Here is a 21,090-nt window from a genome sequence, read left to right on the forward strand (position 1 = left end):
CAAAATTGACTTTCTTTCACCAAAACTTGTCTGGCGACTGGGCTACTGGCACTGTTGAATATTCAGCCTGTTCACAAAAAAGACCAATTGCAAATCCCAAAAAAAAGCTTCATTCTCCAGAGGAAACCAACCAGTCTCTTAGTGTCAGGTTGATTACAGTAGGCCTCTTCCATCATGGAGGAGGCATCAATTTTTTTTTTTTACAGTAGTTTTAAGTATTTTAGGTATGGTTTTGTCTATTATATTTTTACCAATATTACCATTCTTAGATTTACAAAATGACTTATATATCCCTATGATATTGCAGAAAACTGCCTCCTTGGATGCACTTGCTCAATCTTGATCTCAACCTTGGAGGTAGGACTGGGAGGTAGGGAGGTGGCCTAGTCAGCATTTTCCCAGAGAAGCAGACTGAAAGACACATTTTCTTCTTAGTTTGAGACAGAGTCTCGCTCTGTTGCCCAGACTGGAGTGCAGTGGTGTGATCCTGGCTCACTGCAACCTCTGCTTCGCGGGTTCAAGCGATTCTCGTGCTTCAGCCTCCCAAGTAGCTGGGGCTAGAGATGTGTGCCACAACACCCGGCTAATTTTTGTATTTTTAATAGAGATGGGGTTTCACTATTTTGGCCAGACTGGTCATAAACTCCTGACCTCAGGTGATTCACCTGCCTCAGCCTCCCAAAGTGCTGGAATTACAGGTATGAGCCACCAAGCCCAGCTAAAAGACAGAGTTTATGGCAAGGGATATATGACAATGCTCTGTGTCTTCAAATTCACTGGTATTACTATATTTTTCATTATTCAAAGGCAACTGGCTGTATACGACAGTAGATGATCAATAGGCTCCGTTATGGCACCAGCTAGAAGACAATATTGAAGTTAGGGTATATGCCCTAAACTGAGAGTTTATTATTTTATCTCCAAGAATGCATAGGTCCAGGAATAAAGTATTTTAGGTTGGCGTGGCCGCTGTAATTATTTAACCAAGTAACCCACTGGAGGAGTTTTTGCTTCTCATTAGTATGATCTTGGGCTAGGGGATTTGAGAGTCCTGATGCCGAAGGTAGGAAAGTTCTTTGAGGGAACACAATTATGGTCTGTAGAGGTAGACGCTGAGATTGTACCCTGGCCATTTTGGATTCCCTATACTGAGCTAAAAAGCGTCAAAAGGAGCTACGGTATTAGCCAGAGCAATTATCCCAATTATTGAGGTAAAATTAGGAGGACCATGTTTGGAAACCAGAGAATTCATTATACACCTGTTAGTACTCCTTTACCTAGTAGTCCTCTGTATTTGCTGTCCTTGGCAGTGAAATTTTAAAAAGTTGTGTACAATCCTTGTTTCAAATTCCATTCATCCCTTCATCATCCTTCTGAAACAAATTTTTTTTTTTTTTTTTGAGACAGAGTCTTGCTCTGTCTGCCAGGCTGGAGTACAGTGGCGCGATCTTGGCTCACTGCAGGCTCCACCTCCTGGGCGCAAACGATTCTCCTGCCTCAGCCTCCTGAGTAGCTGGGACTACAGGTGTACGCCACCACCCCAGGCTAATTCTTGTATTTTTAGTAGAAATGGGGTTTCACCATGTTAGCCAGGCTGGTCTTGAACTCCTGACGTCAGGCAGTCTGCCCACCTCGGCCTCCCAAAGTGCTGGGATTACAGATGTGAGCCACCGCGCCCAGCCTAAAACAATTATTTTGAGGGTCACTACCACTTTGCCAAATTCAAAGGTTGATTCTCAGTCCTCACCTTACTTGACCTCTCAGCAGCATTTGACACAGTTGATTTCTACCTCTTGTTATTATAGTTTGCCATACCATACTCTTTATTTTCTTCTTCTCACTGATATTTAACTTCAGTGTCATTTGTTAGTTTTGTGACATTCCCCCTCAGTCTCTCAATTTTTAAGAGCTTCAGTCATTGGACATTGTCTTCAGTCAGTGGACATTTTGTGTTGCTATAACAACACACACAAAAAAATACCACAGACTGGATAACTTATAATGAAAGGAAATTTATTTCTTACAGTTCCGGAAGCTGGGAAGTCCCAGGTTGAGAGCGCCACATTTGATGAGGGTCTTCTGGCTGTGTCATCATGGCCGAAGGTGGAACGGCAAGGAGCCTGATAGAGCAAGAGGGGGCCAAATTTGCTTTTATAACAAGCCTGTTCTTATAACAAACTCACTCCCATGATAACATTAAATCGTTCATGAGGACTCATGATCTAATCACCTCTTATTAGATTCCACCTCCCAACACTGTTGCACTGAGGATTGTGTTTCCAAGATGTGAACTTTGGAGGACACATTAAAAGCTGCACTCATTGTTTTGTGATCTCATAGTATTTATTAACATCATTGTTACCACCTATATTCCAGCCACCCCAAAATGTATGTATCCATTCTATACCTCACTTCTGAATTTTATTTTATTATTATTATTTTTATTTTTTTAGATGGAGTTTTGCTCCTGTTGCCCTGGCTGGAGTGCAGTGGCGTGATCTCAGCTCACTGCATCCTCTGTCCCCTGGGTTCAAGCGATTCTCCAGAGTAGCTGGGATTACAGGCATGTGCCACCACACCCAGCTAATTTTGTATTTTTAGTAGAGATGGGGTTTCTCCATGTTGGTCAGGCTCTGAATTTTAGACATGTAAAGTTGACTGTCAACTTAGCATCATACTTGGATATCAAATAGCCTAATACAAATTCCTGGGCTTTACCCCACCAAGCCTATTTCAGCTGCTGTCTTCCTCTTTCTCACTAATGATAATTCTATCTTTACAGTTGCACTGACCAAAAGCTTGATACCATCTTTGATTCCAGTCTTTCTGTCAGTCATTACATCTACTCTGTCAGGAAATCTTGGTGGATTTCTTTAGAAAAATATCCAGAAGTTGACCATTTCTTATCAATTTTGTTTGTCATCACTCTTATATCTATCATCAGTTGCCTGGAATATGAAAAGAACTTTCCTAACCACCCTCCCTGCTTTCAGCCTTGTTTTTAGTCCATATTTACTGTGTTCTACCTACACTGGACTGACTGTTGCTCGCTGAAAGCAGGAACTTTTAACTTAGGGATTTTAGTTTGATGTCTTCTGCCTGGAATGTATTTAGCCAGATATCTAAAACAACCAACTCCCTCTCCTCTAAGTTTTGCTTCAGTATTACTAATGATCAATCTATTTCAGATTTCAGCCTGCCACCATTTTACCTCCCATAATTTGGATTCCTTCCTCTTATCTTGCTCATTTTTTCCCCAGTGGTCCTTAATAATTTATAACATACTATATCATATTTCAGATTTATTGTGCTTATTGTTTTCTTCGTGGATAGACTAAATTTATTCATGGATAGACTGTAAAGAATTTGTTCATCAATTCTTTCACATGCATAGGGCATAGTAGCCATTCAATAAATGTTTTTTGAATAATGAATGAATAAAGAATTATAAAGAGAAGGAAGCACTCTGCCCCATCACTAAGACACGTCTCCCTCCTTCTGCCCCTGCCCACCCCCCACCAAGGGCTCTCCAATCAAATCTAAACAGTTTGTTTTGAGAGTGTCTTATTGTGAAATATGCTGCTTTTTATGACACTTTTCATACCACTTTGGCCATTACATATTGAATTTCTGCTAAGTTTTGGCCAAACAAAAAAGAGGAATAGAACATAAAAAGAGGTAAACAATTATAGTAGAACACATAAGCAAATAGATTATAGTATTCTGATTCAGAAATAATGAATTCTGGGATACTGAAATAACTTGTAGATTTGATCAATTGCTGTTGGTATTTTGAAGGAGAACCCAAATGATATGAGAATATGGGAAACAGAAAAGTGTAGTTGTGACATTAAAAACACAAAGATGGGTAATTCTATAGTTGGTGTTTTTGAAATAAATCCTAAGTAAGGTTCTGGGACATTATAAAAGAATACTTTGTGAATGTTTCTTAAAAGAAGTAGTGATTTCTCAAAGCCAGTATGAGTTCTTCAAGGGAAATTCTTATCAGACTAACCAGTAACCTTTTAAAATAGAATTACACTAAATACAGAACATCTGAATTCCATCAAAGCATGTTTATCAAATTGTGATTAACATGACGTTGAGAGGGATGTAAAATACGTCACACAATAGAATCAAGATCCCCAAAGATCTCAGTAGACTGGGAATATAGTTACACAAATGCCTACAGGGTAGTTTATTTGGCTATAAAATACCAGTTGCACTGTACAATGGGAGAAATATGTGGCTTTAATAGTTGTCTGGGTGGTTTTGTTAAATCTTATTTGAAATACTTTAGGTGGTTTTGTTAAATCTTACTTGAGTCTATAGTATGATGTATACGCCAGAGAAGCTTACACACTTTTAGTCTGCATCTACCAAGAGTTTTACTCAGTACCTCTCATAGTGTCCCAGGAAGATGAAACTGAATTCTGGACATGATGCTCCATCATGATAAGCTGAAACACATTCAAGACTGACCAGGGAGGCTGGGCGTGGTGGCTCACGCCTGTAATCCCAGCACTTTGGGAGGCTGAGGTAGGTGGATTACCTGAGGTCAGGAGTTCGAGACCAGCCTGACCAACATGGTGAAACCCCATCTCTCCTAAAAATACAAAAAATTAGCCAGGCATCGTGGTGGGCACCTGTAATCCCAGCTACTCGGGAGGCTGAGGCAGGAGAATCGCTTGAACCCTGGAGGTGGAGGTTGCAGTGAGCCGAGATCGTGCCACTACACTCCAGCCTGGGTACAACAGAGTGAGACTCTGTCTCAAAAAAAAAAAAAAAAAAAAAAAAGACCAAGGAGATAAGGCATCTCAAAAGTATATACGTTAGGAACATTTGAACAAGCTAGGGATGTTATTCTTCATGGTGTCTCAAGCAGCATATAATGATGTCTAAATAGTTAAAAGCTCATCCATGTGGGAAAGGGACTTACTTAAATGTTCCACACAACCTCAACACTTCCTGTCTCCTACCCTTGTTTATTTTTATTTTTTTTCTCTTTAACACATCACTATTGACATAGTATGTATTTTACTAAGTATTCTTGTTTCCTGTCCCTCTACCCTGACCAGGATAAAGGTTACATGAGGGAAGGGATTTTTTTTCTACTTTGTTCACTACTGCCTTAGCCTTCATGCCCACAAAAGTCCCTGGGCCCGGCTGGGTGCAGTGGCTCATGCCTGTAATCCCAGCACTTTGGGAGGCTGAGACGGGCAGATCACGAGGTCAGGAGATCGAGACCATCCTGGCTAACACAGTGAAACCCTATCTCTACTAAAAATACAAAAAATTAGTCAGGCGTGGTGATGGGCGCCTGTAGTCCCAGCTACTTGGGATGCTGAGTCAGGAGAATGGCATGAACCTGGGAGGCGGAGGTTGCCATGAGCCAAGATCGCGCCACTGCACTCCAGCCTGGGTGACAGAGCGAGACTCTGTCTTAAAAAAAAAAAAAAGTGCCTGGGCCCATAGTTGGTGCTTAAGAAGTATTTTATTCAGTGATAAATAGCCATAAGGGATGGAACTAGAATCAGTGGGTGAAAGCTTCAGAGATTCAAATTTTGTTTCAGGTGAAGGAAAAACTTTGTTAGAAATATTAAACTTTTCTGGCCTTGTTGGGAAAGTAGTGCATGCTCCAACCCTGGAAGTGTTACAACAATTGCTTCCTGAGTTAACACTTGGTTGAAGTACTATCGAAATGATGTTAGTAGGGATTTGAAATTAGATAATCTGTTTTCTTGATGGGATTCTATAATTTTGTACAATATATTTAGATTCATTTTCCCTTTCACATTGAGAACCAGTAAATGCCCACGTTAAACTTGCAGTTTTATATACAATCTATGCTAAAATATTATTTGGTCTTGAACTTAAGACAAGTACATGTAACAACTTTTATTCTTGGATTTTATGTCCCTACTTTTTTCTAAAAAGCAGTGATTCTGAAGCACAGACCTCTCAAACTTTGGGAACAATTATTGTAGAAACATCCCAGAAAATAAGTCCTACGGAAGATGGAAAAGACCAGAAAGAAAGTGATCCAACAGAAGACAGCCAAACACAAGGAAAAGAAATAGTACAGACATATTTAAATATAGATGGCAAGACCCCAAAGGTAAATGACATGATTTTGCTTAATTGTATGCTATGTTTTAAATTTTATCTTATGCTTTATAACTTAAGTAAATAAATGTTACTACTGATTTAATTTGAATTCTTACAAGTTAAGTCTTTAAAATATACAGTGAAAATATTCACTTTTAAATAATTTTCAAGTACTTGTTTGTTACAGTCTTTTTCATAGACGAAAATAAATACTATTCTTATAAATCTTAAGGTATTTATATCTCAGCAAAAAAGTGGTTAATAAGCTCATTATTGTTTTCAGGTATATGAAATATTCCAAATGATGAAACTTCTTTTTGTATATTAGTCTTTGCAATGATAAAGTCATTTAGTCTGACTAAATCTCTAAATTACTTATTTCTAACTAGCCTCTCAATGTATTTTACATTTTGAAAAATTGAAGTTCTAATACAACTTATTCAGTAATTCCTACTGCTGATACATCATGGCACCAAATGTTTACCTATTTAACATAAATCAGTGAAAAATTAAGGAAAGTTCATTTCTATTTTGTTGTAAAAATTAGGTTGTCTTTGAATTAACCTATAAGATTCTTTTAAAACATAATTCAAAAACATTTATTTTTTGAGCTCTTGCCAGCACTTTGGAGGAAAGGTCTTCTTTAGTTACTACCAGAATAAAGTTCAGACCAAGAATATATGCTAAATGACTGCTGATTGATTGATAAATAGATTTTATAGAAATTTTTGCTGCTCTTCATTGATACTTGATAGGTTAATCTTTCTCATTTCAGCTACTTTTTCATGTATGTTGAGGTATATCATTGTGAGTTAAGTTTCTGTGATTACTAATACAATGTTGAGTACTTTCTCATGGTTATTGGGCATTTGGAATTTTTTAGTAAATTGCCTCTTCAAGTCTCTGCCCATTTTCCAAATGAGTTGTCTGTATTTTTCTTACTGGCTTAGACATTTTTATATATGCTATATATGAGCCTTTTGTGGGTTATGTATTGTAGATATCTTTTCCTACTCCATGGTGTGCCTTTTTTCTTTTCTCACTGGAGTCTTCTGAAGAATATAACATCTCAATTCTAATGTGGCCAAACTTACCAATTTTTTGTTTATGAATAGCACATTTTGTGTCCTGTATAATGCATTGCTTACTGCAATGTAGATATATCCTATGCTACCTTCCATGTTGTCTTTTCCTATATTTTTCTGATTTCCTATATTTTTCTGTTTTGATTTTCACATCAATGTCTAGCATTGATTTTTTCATGTGATGTGAGATAGGGATTAAGTTTACCAATTTTTCCCCAATATTTGTCATTAACTTTTTCCTTACTTTATTCAAAGGTGCCACCTTTATTGTAAATCCAATGTACGTAAACATAGGGATATTTCTCTAGGCTTTTTCTTCTGTTCCTTCAGTAAATGTATCAGTATCATGCTGTCTTAGTTACATTTTAGTAGTCTTGATTGCATGTTGAACAAGTTTCCCACCTTCTTGTTCATCAAGAGTCTCTTCTTGGTCCTTTACTCTTCAAAATGAATTTAAAATCAGCTTAAGTTCTACAAAAACTTTTTTTGGGATTTTGATAGTGACTCTATTAACCTAAATTAATATAAAACAAGAAGAAGACGCTGAAAGGTAGAGAGAAGGCAGCAGACCAGCTAGGTACCTCAGCACTCAAGGAACAACATGGTGGTGAGTTCTTTGGGTTTTCATTTTGCTTCATGTATCCTGGCCTGGATACCTGAAATCCCCAACCTAGAAACCTCAGTAGGTCAGACAATACATGCCCTGGATAAAACCCTTCTTTTAGCCAAAGGACCTGGAAAAGGCCAGCCTAGCAAGACAGAAAAGCTTACACAGTAAGTGTCCTACTCCAGGCAAACACCAGAGAAAAATTGCAACCCTGTTTCCAGCCCCATCTGTAAAGGCCTAATGGGAACCTAGACTTTCACTCTTACCTGGCAATAAGTAGGCACTCTTCACCTCTCCTCCTCCTATCAGGGTGATGCCAGAGAGGACCAAGTGTGGAGCTAGTGATAATGACCTCCTCCTGGGATCCCTAACCCCTGGGCTGCAGACTGGCACCTGTTGTGGCCTGCTAGGAACTGGCTTACACAGCAGAAGGTGAGAGGTGGGTGAGCCATTGTTACGGCCTGAGCTCTGCCTCCCGTTAGACCAGCGGAGGCATTAGACTCTCACATAAGCATGAACCCCGCTGTGAACTGCACATGCAAGGGATCTAGGTTGCTGCTCCTTATGAGAATCTAATGCCTGATGATCTGAGGTAGAACAGTTTCATCCCGAAACCATCTCCACCTCCCCGACCCACTCCACCCCCTATCCATGCAAAAATTTTCTTCCACAAAACTGGTTTTTGGTGCCAAAAAGGTTAAGAACCGGTGACTCCCTCCTTTCCATGTCATTGGAGATCACATAGGGAACCTGGATATCCACCTCCATTCAGCATTGAAATGCCTTTCCCTTCTGAGCAAGATAATTTCAGAGGCCAAGTGCAGAGATGGGGAATTTAATTACTACTTATACCTAACAAGCCCCCACCCCCTCCCCATGATGTCAATGGAAGCCCAGTGGGGAACATTAACTAAGTCCCCCTCCATTATCCAGCCATGATGGTATCAGCAGATGCCTATTGGGTAGCCTGAAGTTCTGCCCTCCCCAAGCAGTAATAAGGTGGCCCTCTCCAACCAGGTTGTCAACTAAGACTGGATTTCCACTTCCAACTGGCAGTAATTAGATGGTGTGCTCCTTGCCCCATCAGTGTGGTGTCAGATGAGTCCCATTCAAATGAGATTCAAGTAAGATACAGAACCTTGAAGTTCTAATACTTGAAATATAATAGCCAAAATGTCCAGGATACAATTGAAAATCACACCTCATACCAAGATCCAGGAAAACCTCAACTATATCAACAGAAGCAAAAAGCAAGATGACAGATGTTGGAGTTACAGACAGTCCCCAACTCACTACAATGGTTTGAGTTAAAATTTTTCTACTTTATGTTGGTGTGAAATTGATACATGTTTAGTAGAAACTGTACTTTGAGTACCCATACAATGGTTTTTTTAATCACTTTCAGGGCAGTATTCAATAAATAAATTACATGACATATTTAATACTTTATTATAAAATAAGCTTTGTGTTAGATGATTTTGCCCAGCTGTAGGCTAATGTAAGTGTTCTGAGTAGGCTAGGCTAAGCTATGATGTTTGGTAGGTCAGATGTATTAAATGCATTTTTGATTTATGATGTTTTCAACTTAATGAGTTTATCAGGACGTAATAATGGATACCCATTGTATGTCAGGAGGCATCTGTATATGACACGTATATTAAAGTTGCTGCCATCAAAATGCTTCAACAAGCAATTATGGACAGGCCTAAAACAAAACAAAATAGACCTAAAACAAAAGCAATAGACTATCTCAGTAAAGAATTAGAAAGTCTCAGCAAATAAATAGAAGATATAAAAGTACCCAGATCTAAATTTTAGAACTGAAAAATTAAATAACTATGTTTGCCCCACAGATGGTGGCATTAATCCTTATCACCCAAAATTGATTCAGATGTCAAGACTGATGGCACCGTACACCCGCCATTATTATTCACATAATGGAACAGAGAATCTAGAAATGGATCCACATAAGTATGAACAACTGATTTTTGACCAAGGTGCAAAGGAAGGATAATCCTTTCAAAAAATGGTGCTGGAGCAATTGGATATTTCTACGCAAAAAATATAGGAACCTATACCTAGACTTTACACTTTATACAAAAATTAATTTGAGGTGGCTCACATATAAATGTAGAATATTAAATCATAAAACTTTCAGAAAGAAATATAAGAGAAAATCTTGAAGTCTTAGAGCTGAGTGAAGAGTTTTTAGACATGATACCAAAAGCATGATCCATAAAAGAAAACAACAGTAAATTAGACTTCATTAAAATTAAGAACTTTTGCTCCTCAAAAGACACTATATAGAAGAGGAAAAGACAAGCCACAGAGTGAGAGGAATATTTAAAAACCATGTGTCTGACAAAAGTCTCATAGCTTGAATATGTAAAGAACACTCAAAACTTAACAGGAAGAAATTAAACAATCCAGTTACAAAATAGGCAGAAGATATGAGCAAACATTTTACCAAAAAAGGATATACGGATGGCAAATAAGCACATATAAAGATTTTCAACTTCACTATTAGGAAACAGCTAAAGTAAAAATTAGTGAAAATACCAAGTGCTGACCAAGGGACAGGGAAACTGGATCTCTCATATATTGTTCATGTGAATATAAAATTCTATATTACAGCACTCTGAAAAAGTTTGTCAGTTTCTTAAAAACTAAACTTACCATACAACCCAGCTATCACACCCTTAGACACATCCCACAGACATGAAAATATATGTTTACCAAAAAAACTTGTACATGAATGATCATAGAACCTTTGTTTGTAATAGCTGAAAACTGGGAACAACCAAAATTCTCTTCAATAGCTGAACAGCTAAACAAACTGTGGTACATCTGTAACACAGGAAACTTCTCAGCAATAAAAAGGAGCTAACTATTGACGTATACAATGTCCTAGCTTTCTGACCTGAAATTTCTCATCTTGGATTGTGAACTAGGCTTTCTTTCTTGCCTTCTGCATTCTGTGTTGCTATTTAAGTGGAATTTCAAGGTCACAAGGGATTGTCAGTTCTACATTTTGCTGGCCACTTTGTTGGTCACTTTTGTATGGTCTCTGAATTTCTGCTTTCACTTCATTTTTGACCTCTGACATTTCCCTTGTATTTTTTGCCATGTTAGAAATACACTTTAAGTGTGTTTGTTTCATAGCATGAGAGTTTTCTTGAGTTTGTATTCAGTAATAGTACTGGAAACAGAAGCCCACTTCTTTGTAATTTAATTTTAGCTACTGTTAATTTGATACCAAATCTGGTGACTGATATTAGTACTTCAATTGGTAGCTGTAGTTTGGATTTTTTTTTTAACAGTGCTCAGTGCGTGGCTGATACTTAAATACTAATTAAATCTTAATAAAGCAATTAAAAATTTATATGCCAGTTCTGAAGATAAGCTTAAATGAAGCATTTCAAAAATATTTTGAGAAATGAAACATTGTTAGGGTTTTATATTTCTGAAACTAATCATTTGAAAGGAAAACCTTATTTTAGATATAGGCTTCTGTTCCATGTGTTAATCAGTTTCATGACTTTCAGGCAATTTGTTGCTGGATTGGGATCTTTTAAAAAGTTCTTTTTAAAATAAGAAATAATTTTCTAGATTGCATATATCTATGTTTCCCAGCCAATACATTCTTAAACAAGGCTAGGCACTGTGGCTCACGCCCATAATCCCAACACTTTTGGAGGCCGAGGCGAGTGGCTCACTGGATACCAGGAGTTTGAAACCAGCCTAGACAGTATGGTGAAACCCCATCTCTACCAAAAATTCAAAAATTAGCTGGGGGTGGTGGTCCCTGTAGTCCCAGGTACTTGGGAGGCTGAGGCATGAGAATTGCTTGAACCTGGGAGGCGGAGGTTGCGGTGAACTGAGATTGTGCCACTGTACTCCAGCCTGAGTGACAAAGCCAAACTCTGTCTCAAAAGAAAAAAAAAAAAATCTTAAGACCACATGTTTTACTACTAATATATACAATTTTAAATTGGTGAAACGTTTTGAAACCAAAAGTCAACAAGGCTTCCTTTTATTCAGCCTCAGTGTATTAGAATGCCATGAGGAAAACATACAGCTTCAGGAAGTTATTTTATTATTGTCAGCATTATTTTTAGCTTTATTTGTCAGAAGGCTATTAGCTTCATTTGTCAGCATATAATAGAGTATTTGAGAAAAGGGCCTATATTTTCAGAGAATAAGTTATTAATTATTCACATTTTACTTTTGTTACGGTTACCATATTTACTCCTAAGTTTTTAAGCTATCCCTAGATTAAATTTCTACTTCTTTGGAGTTGATTTTGTATCTGTATCTTCTGCCTGCTGGTTTAAGTTCAGTGTATACAATAAGTTCATTTGTAAGTTCTTGGTATCAGTTATAGAATTTTATCATCTAGAGTTTAAAAAATATTTTTTTCAATTTTTTTTGTAAGAGGCAGTCTTGCTCTGTTGCCCAGGCTGGTCTCAAACTCCTGGCCTCAAGCAGTCCTCCTGCCTTGGTCTCCCACAGACTTAAAAAAAATTCTGCATAAACAATTGTATTTTTTAAGTAAAGAGATGTTATTTATATCAGTTCACTTGATGTTGTTATTGAAGAATAATACCATTTTTATGAAATCTTCAAATTTAGGACTATTTTCATGATAAGAATGCCAAAAAACCAACTTTTCAAAAGAAGAATTGCAAGATGCAAAAGAGTTCACATACAGCAGTTCCTACTAGAGGTAAGAATGTATATGCAATTAACAATATGTCTTTTACAATTTAAATCTAATTTTTAAAATATGAACAATATTGTTTTTATGTAGTCAACAGAGAAAAGTACAAAAATATAACTGCCCAGAAATCAAGTAGCAATATTATTTTATTACGAGAACGGATTATATCCTTGCAACAACAAAACAGTGTACTTCAGAATGCCAAGAAAACAGCAGAATTGTCTGTTAAAGAATATAAAGAAGTTAATGAAAAGCTCCTCCATCAACAGCAAGTATCCGATCAACGATTTCAGACAAGCAGGCAGACAATAAAGGTAAAGAGAACTTTAAGATTGAACAGTAGTATACTATATTGTAAAAGTGGATATTTTGTTTTACATGTATTATTTAGTTTATATTTGTGTTAGGCAGGTCTATGAGTTTTAAAAAATCCCAGGCACTGTTTACTAGTGTAATTAGTTTAATTACTGGACTTCTTTAATAAGGCCCATATTAAAGGATAACATACATGAGGGAAGGAACTCTGAATCTAAAAGACACTTTACTAGCGTTCCTGTTCCTCTTAGTTTTTCTCATCTTTGAAATATTTTTACATATTCTGTATTGTGTTACATCTTAGTGTTTAAAAGCAGGCTTCATACATACACATAGCTTACCCGTTTGCCTATGTTTGAAACTTTGTGTTTATGATAAGTTACATTATTAAACTAATATATTCATCAGTTACTCTTTGCAAATGCTAGTATAAAATGTGAAGATTTTAATGTAAGTATCTATTTTAATGTATTCCAGTAATCTATCTGTGGTTCTTTTTACTCAGGCAAATAGTCAACATTATACCTTACTCCTGGTAAGGTAATCTTAAAGCACAAGTTTAACTTACACTTTGAGATGAACTTAAAGCAAATGAAAAAGAAAAGATTTTTTGTTCTTTAGGTCTTCATTCTTTACGCTATTTGCTTGTGTAATGAATGATTTGTTAGAAAATTATTTTGCACAGAAAAATTTATTTCATTATATTAGAAAACAATCTTTCAATCACTGTCTCACATAATTTTAAGTTACACTTAAATTCTCTAATTCTAGTATCTAGTGCTTTGATTCAAACAATACATATAAACACTTTAATGGTGAAGGATTAGTGTTATGCCATTTAAGAATTGTGTTCTGACTTTATTCCCAGAGTAGCCTTATACCCAAACCTTAACTGCATTCCAACTTACACCAGAAGTTTCTGGATTTTACAGGCTTGGCCATTGGAAATGTGGCAGTGGGATACCAGATAAGACTGAGCTCTATGTTAGAATTTAGACACAGCCACTGATACCACAACCACTGTATAGGAACCACATTTCCCAAAATGATTTCATCCCATATACATTTTACTGGCTAGAATTTTCTTTTCTTCTCTTTAATATCCTCTCTTTCTTCCCTTTCCTTTTCTTTTCTCCTACGCTTCCTTTCTTTCTTCTCTAGTTAAATGACATTGTTTTATATCTCACCGTGATATTATAAACTATCTGTATTCCTAGGTTTTTTTTGTGCAAATAGCAAAGTGACATGAAAGAACATTTTTTAAAAGAAAGAAAAAATTCTCAACTTTAATTGTTCAATCTTATTATACAAAAAACATTTGAACTTTTTGGTGTTCTCTTAAATAATTTACTAGACCACTGGCTTTTCATAAGAGTAAATTCTGATATTGTCAGAGGAAAATTATAAAAGATTAGAGTTGTTACAAAAATTATTTTCCTCATTCTCCTTGGAAAAGGATTTTCTTCATTGAGAGTTTGAAAAGTAGTGGTATAGTTACTTCTTGGGAGTTCCTTAAATTGCATACACTATGAGAAAAATAAAAATAGTACCCTAGGGATTCAACTAAAAATCTGTGTTAGACATACTTTTTTTTCCTTTTTTGCAATCAATTTTAATGTCCTTTCTTCTAATTTTTGAGGTGCCATACTTGGTAGTATCAAGTAAGAAATCCACATTTTAGCACAGATTTCAACTACTTGTAAAGATAAAATTAGGAGGTATAAAAAGCACCTCAGTTACTGCATGGTTCATCTGCATTTTAGAGAGAGTATAGTATAGATGATCAAATGAATTACTTTCATATGAATTTCTCCCTGAAGTTACCCTCAATTCTAGCTATTTCAAATCTCATCTATTCCAAGGTAAATGTCTTACTTTTGCTACTATGTTATAGGTATAACTTATATTTCATTGTTATATGTAATTTTATTTTTTAATACAAATTTTCTTTAGATGATAGAAAGGTCCAAGAACATCTAATATTCAAAAAAGTACTTTAGGAAAGAGTAAGAATCAGAATTTAGAAATTTTCCATCTCAAAAATCGCTATGAACTCAAATAAATGTAACTAGTGATTAACTAGAATTAGATTTAATTTGAATATTCTGTACATATGGAGAAATAACTGATGTGGTAACTAAACTTAGAATTCTCTACTGATAAAGTAACTCCCCAAATATTACATAGATACAGACAAATTCTCTTTAGTTAATACATTGGTATAGTCTTTCTGGGCTCTAACATAATAACCAAAGCTTGGGATGGAAGATGTCAAGATCCCAGATTCTCATCTACTGGGAAATTTTTCAGGTTACCAACTTGAGGATTTGGGTAGTATCTGTTGATTTCTGTGATATTTTTAATAACTGAACTTAGGTAAACAGATTAAGTTCAGCCTTTCTTTTCCTGCCTATTTATGGTAGAATTCCTATATGCTCGGTAAATATTCTAATTTAATTATTTTATATCTGTATCTTGTGATTTTAAAACCCTCAACATTTTTTTTATTCTAAAGTATTGAATCAGGCATCAGTAGGTTTTGAACTTATAGGTCTTGAATTTATTGTGCATTAATAATTAACATTTAAGACAGATTTCAATATTTGGGCAGCCTCCATACTAAAGATATTACTTTACACTCAGGAAAACTTTTCAAAGACTTTCAACTTTTTCATATGTAATTAAAGTACCATTGTTCGTTAAGAGGTTGATAAGAGGAACACAAAGTATTCTTTGGTATTTTTTTCCCTGTCAGTTTCATTGCAATGTGTTTTAAACCATTGTAGAATTTCCTCAAAAAAGCTTAGAAGAAGAAATTTGAACTGTATAGGCCAAACTGCTAAAGTTTTGGAAGAAAATTTTAACCAAGATAATAGATTTTTTACATGTTTAGACTGAGCTGTCATCACTTTAACTGTATTTTTTTGTTTGTTTGTTTGTTTTTTTTACATTTTGCCTACTCTAAAGATATGTGTTACATATAGATAGTATTTTACAACTATGAGCTAAATGGTATACTAGGTAAATGGCAAAGATTTGTGATTCCCAAAAGCAGGTACTGTAAATATCATTGTAAAATATTCTAAACCTATTTTGAAATGCGCTATAGCCCTATACTAAGCATTATTCTATAGATGGAATATATAAATAGCCATCAACTATTTTCAAGAAAAATTAAGTATAAATCTTTTGCATTTGTTCAAAGTATGTATCCGTTGCCACAGGTGTAAAGATACGAGTAAAAAACATGCTAGCCCCATTCTTCAGAGCTCCCTTTTAATATGAGGAAAATGTTATACACATGCAATGTTTAATTTTATAAATTTATTTATGCTTCTCAGGTCATACACTATTTAATTTAGACAAAAAGTAGGAAAATAATGATATTTTCTCACACTAGGCATTCAAACATGAGAAATTAACTTTGTTTTCTATAAAAGATTTTTGGAAAGTTAGGAGATACAGAGAAATAGAAAGCATATATAAGAAATAACCTTATACCCTTCAGAAATTAACATATATTCTTCCACTGTATATTTTAAAGATAGAAAATGTGATAAATAAAGCTAAATTTTTATTTAATCATTATCTACAGCCCCATCCTCTTCTACCTGTCTCTGGAGACACTTTCAGGTGTTCATACTAATTTTCCAATAATTTAAAAAATTGTTGCATACATATGTACATTGATAAATAATATACAGTGTTATTTTTATTGTAGTATAGTTTTTTGTTTGTTTTTGAGACGGAGTCTCACTCTGTCACCCAGGCTGGAGAGCAGTGGCGCAATCTCGGCTCACTGCAAGCTCCGCCTCCCAGGTTCAAGCAATTCTTCTGGCTCAGCCTCCTGAGTAGCTGGGACTATAGGCACGCAACACCACGCCTGGCTAACTTTTGTATTTTCGGTGGAGTTGGGGTTTCACCATGTTGGCTAGGGTGGTCTTGAACTCCTAACCTCACATGATCCACCCACACCAGCCTCCCAAAGTGTAGCCATTGGGTCCTGGGCTTTTCTTTGCTGGGAGACTTTTTATTAGGCTTTGCTTTTGTTACTTGCTATTGGTCTGTGCAGGTTTTGGATTTCTTCATGGTTCAATCTTGGTAGATTGTATATGTCTAGGAATTTGTCTATTTGTTCTAGATTTTCCAGATTATTGGCATATAGTTGGTGACAGTAGCCACTAACAATGCTTTAAATTTATGCAGTATCTGTTGTAATATCTGCTTTTTCACCTCTGATATTATTTGTCTTCTCTTTTTCTTGGTCTGGTTAAAGGTTTGTATGTTTTGTTTTACTTTTTGAGAAACCAACTTTTTGTTTTATTGATTTTTTTCATATTGTTTTGTTCGTTTTAATTTCATTTATTTCTTCTCTGATCTTTATTATTTCTTTTCTTCTACTAATTTTGGGTTTGGTTTGCTCTAGTTTTTCTAGTTCTTCAAGATGCATCATTAGGTTGTTTATCTGAAATTTTTCTTCTTTTTTGATGTAAGCACTTTTAGGTATAAACTTCTCTCTTAGTATTGCTTTTGCTGTGTTCCATAGGTCTTGGTATGTTGTGCTTCGATTATTTGTTTCAAGAAATTATTGAATTTTCCTCTTAATTTCTTGTTTCTTAATTTCTTCACTTGTCATTCAGGAACATATTGTGTAATTTCCATGTGTTTCTATAATTTCCAAAGTTCCTCTTGTTATTGATTTCTACTTTAATTCCATTGTGATCAGAGAAAATGCTTGATACAATTTCAACTTATTTGCAATTTTTAAGATTTGTTTTGTGGCCTAACATATGGTCTATTCTTGAGACTCATCCATATGCTAAGGAGAAGAATGTGTATTCTGCAGCTGTTTGATGAAGTGTTCTGTAAATATCTATGAGGTTCATTTGGTTTATAATGTAGATTAAGTCTGATGTTTCTTTGTTGATTTTCTATCTGGATGATCTGTCCATTGCTGAAAGTAGGGTATTGAGATCTCCAGCTATTATTGTATTGTCATATTGAAGTCTGGCTCTCTCTTTAATGCTAACAATATTTGCTTTTTATATCTGAGTACTCCGGTGCTGGATATATAGGTATTTATAATTGTTATATCCTCTTGCTAAATTGGCCCCTTTATCATTATATAATGACCTTTTCTTTCTCTCTTTATATTTTTTTGTCTCAAATTTTAAAAATATGATATAAGTATAGCTAGTCATGTTCTTTTTTGGTTTCCACTTCATGGAATATCTTTTTCTATCCCTTTATTTTCAGTCCATGTGCATCTTTATAGGTGAAATGAGTTTCTTGTAGGTAGTGTATCATTGGGTCTTGTTTTTTAATCCATTCAGCTACTATGTATCTTTTGGTTGGAGAGTTTAGTCCATTTGCATTCAGTATTATTATTCATAGATGAGTACTTGCTACTGCCATTTTGTTATTTATTTTCTGGTTGTTTTGTGGTCCTCTCTTTCATCCTTCCTATTTTCCTTTGTGTAAAAGTGATTTTTCTGGTAGTAGTTTTTAATTTCATGCTTTAGTGTGTGTGTATATATCTGTTGTAGGTTTTATGATTTCAGGTTACCATGAGGTCTGCAAATAATGCTTTGTAACCAATTATTTTAAACTGATAACAACTAAACTCTGATTATAAAAACAATAGACAAGCAAAGAGAAACCTAATATACACTCTCCATTTTAACTTGATCCAATCCCCACTTTTACAGTTTTTGTTGTTTATATCTTTTTTGTTTACACATCACAATTACACTGTTATTCTGTATTTGTGTATGTACATGCTATTACCAGTGAGTTTTTTTACCCTTAGATGATTTCTTACTGCTTATCTACATCCTTTTCTTTCAGGTTGTAGAACTCCCTTTAGCATTTCTTGTAGGACAGATCTGGTGTTGGCAAAATTCTCAGCTTTTGTTTGTGTGGGAAAGTCTTTATTTCATATTAGTGTTTGAAGGATATTTTTGGTGTGTATAATACACTACGATAAACGTTCTTTTCTTTAGCACTTTGAATATGTCATGTCCCTCTTTCCTGGCCTGTAAGGTTTCCACTGAGAAGTCTGCTGTATTAGAGCTCTTTTATACGTTATTTATTTTCTTTTTCTGCTCTTAGGATCCTTTCTTTATCCTTGACCTTTGGGATTTTGATTATTAAGTGCCTTGAGGTAGTCTTCTTTGGGTTAAATCTCTTATTTGGTTTAATTCTATCACCCTCTGATACGTGAATTATTCTCCTGTGTATTTTTAAATAGCCCATCTTTAAGCTCACTAGTCTTTCTTCTCCTTGATCAAGTCTGCTGTTGAGAGACTCTAATGCGTTTTTCAGTTTGTCAATTGAATCGTTCAGCTCCAAAATATCTGATTGGTTTTTAAAAATTATTTCAATATTTTTGTTAAATATCTCTGATAGGATTCTGAATTTTTTCTCTGTGTTTTCTTGGTTCATTGAGCTTCCTTAAAACAGTGATTTTGAATTCTCTGTCTGAAAGGTCACATATCTCTGTCACCCTGGGATTGGTTACTGGTGCCTTATTTAGTTCATTTATTGAGGTCATGTTTTCCCGAGTGTTTTTGTTGCTTGTGGATGTTTGCTGGTGTCTGGGCATGAAAGTGTTAGGTATTTATCCTAATCTTTGGATTCTGGGCTTTTTTGTGCTCATCCTTCTTGTGAAGGCTTTCTAGATATTCAAAGGAATTGAGTGTTATGACCTAAGTCTTGGGTCACTGAAGCCACAAATCCGCTAGGGGATACCCTAATCCCGGTAACACTGTGATTCTTGCAGACTTGTACCACCTTGGTGGGCTTAGGTAAGATCCAGGAGAATTCCCTGGATTGCCAGACAGAGACTGTCATTCTCTTCCCTCACTTTGCCCCAAACAAAAGGAGTCTCTCCTTCCATGCTGGGTTGCCTGGAGTTGGGAGAGGGGTGACTGAGTCACTTCGATGTCCACCACTGCTGAGGCTGTGCTAGGTCACTCCTGAAGCTAGCAACATAGTGGTTATTGCCCAAGGCCTTTGGCAACTAGTGCCTGGCTGCCACTGATGTTTATTTGAGGTCCAAGGGCTCTTTAGTCAGCAGGTAATGAATCGTGCCAGAACTGGGTTCTTCTTTGCAGTGCAGCAGGTTCTCTTCTGGCCCAGGGTGGGTCTAGAAATGCCGTACAGGAGCTAGGGCCTGGAATCTGGGGCTTCAGAGATCTGCTTGGTGATTTATTTTACTGTGGCAGAGCTTTTACCCAAGTTGCAAGACAAAGTACTCTTTACTCTTCCTTCTCCTTTCTGCAATCAGGAGTCTCTCACTGAGCTTCCCTGCCTGGAGTAAAGGGAGGGGTGATGTAAACACTCTCTTTACTACCACAACTGATGTCTCAGTGGGTTATGTGCACTTCAGTTCAACTGGCTCCAAGCCCAGCACAGCACCCAGACTTGCCCAAGGACCGCAGATTTTATTATTGCCTTTCATATTTATTCAGTACTGCAGGACACTTTAGTTAGCTGGTAGTGGAGCTTGCTGGAAGTCAGTTTCCTACCAGTGGGGTGAAGGACTCCTCTAGGGCGGGGATAGTTTAAATGCACCTTCTCTGGGCACCAGCAGAATTCCGCCTTGTGTTGTGTTCCGCTGTGACAGGACTTTGCTCTGTCCCCCAAGCACACAGATTCTCTCTCGGCTCAGTGTAGCACTGCTGGGGAATGAGGGAAGGATGATGTAGGCAATGCAAGACTCTCTTTTCTACCCTCTTCAGTGCCTCTTTCTTTGCTATGATGTTAAAACCAGCTTTTAACCTGGTTTGCCTGATTGCTTACCTGAATTTTGGTTCTTAGGAAGGTGCTTTCTTCCCTGGATAATTGTTGAATTTGATGCTTCTGAGGGAAGAAAGTCACTGGAGTTCTGTTTGGCCATTTTGCTCTGCTTCCCTCCCTCAATCTCATTTATTATTAAACTTAATTCGTTAGAATATATTTAAGGTAAATTTTCTTAAAATTTGTTTCTGATTAAAACAATGTATTTTTTCTCCTTACATATTAAAATCTGTATTGCAAAAGTGAACATCAAGGGATAGAAATAGGGTAAGGCAGACTATATTGACTTACTCTTCCAGTTTGAATGATCAGATTTTTGACTTAAAGGTGTTACTCATAATTTAATTGAAACATGAAAATTAGTCCCAAATCTTAAGACTAACAGGATGTAAATGCTCTCTTTTTTTGTTCCAATAATATTACTTAAGTGTATTATGGCTGTGGATACCTCTTTC

The 21,090-nt window shown here is 36.0% G+C and overlaps 1 protein-coding gene across 20 annotated transcripts in view; it reads left to right on the forward strand.

The window, feature by feature from the left end:
- Positions 1-21,090, forward strand: part of CNTLN (centlein) — a 393,595-nt gene that overhangs the window by 268,316 nt on the left and 104,189 nt on the right. For 14 of the 20 annotated variants that reach the window (XR_007061321.1, XR_929282.3, XM_017014839.2 and 11 more), the window contains 3 exons: positions 5,938-6,118; positions 12,433-12,526; positions 12,611-12,834. Coding sequence is in view for 17 of the 20 variants with exons in the window: in XM_017014839.2 (XP_016870328.1) it covers positions 5,938-6,118; positions 12,433-12,526; positions 12,611-12,834 (499 nt within the window). In the remaining 3 variants the exon portion in view is untranslated. The remainder of the gene's footprint in view (positions 1-5,937; positions 6,119-12,432; positions 12,527-12,610; positions 12,835-21,090) is intronic. The other 6 variants (XR_007061322.1, NM_001365029.1, XM_047423520.1 and 3 more) reach the window with 1 other exon arrangement.

Source organism: Homo sapiens, chromosome 9 (genome assembly GCF_000001405.40).
Source record: "Homo sapiens chromosome 9, GRCh38.p14 Primary Assembly".
NCBI lineage: Eukaryota > Metazoa > Chordata > Mammalia > Primates > Hominidae > Homo > Homo sapiens.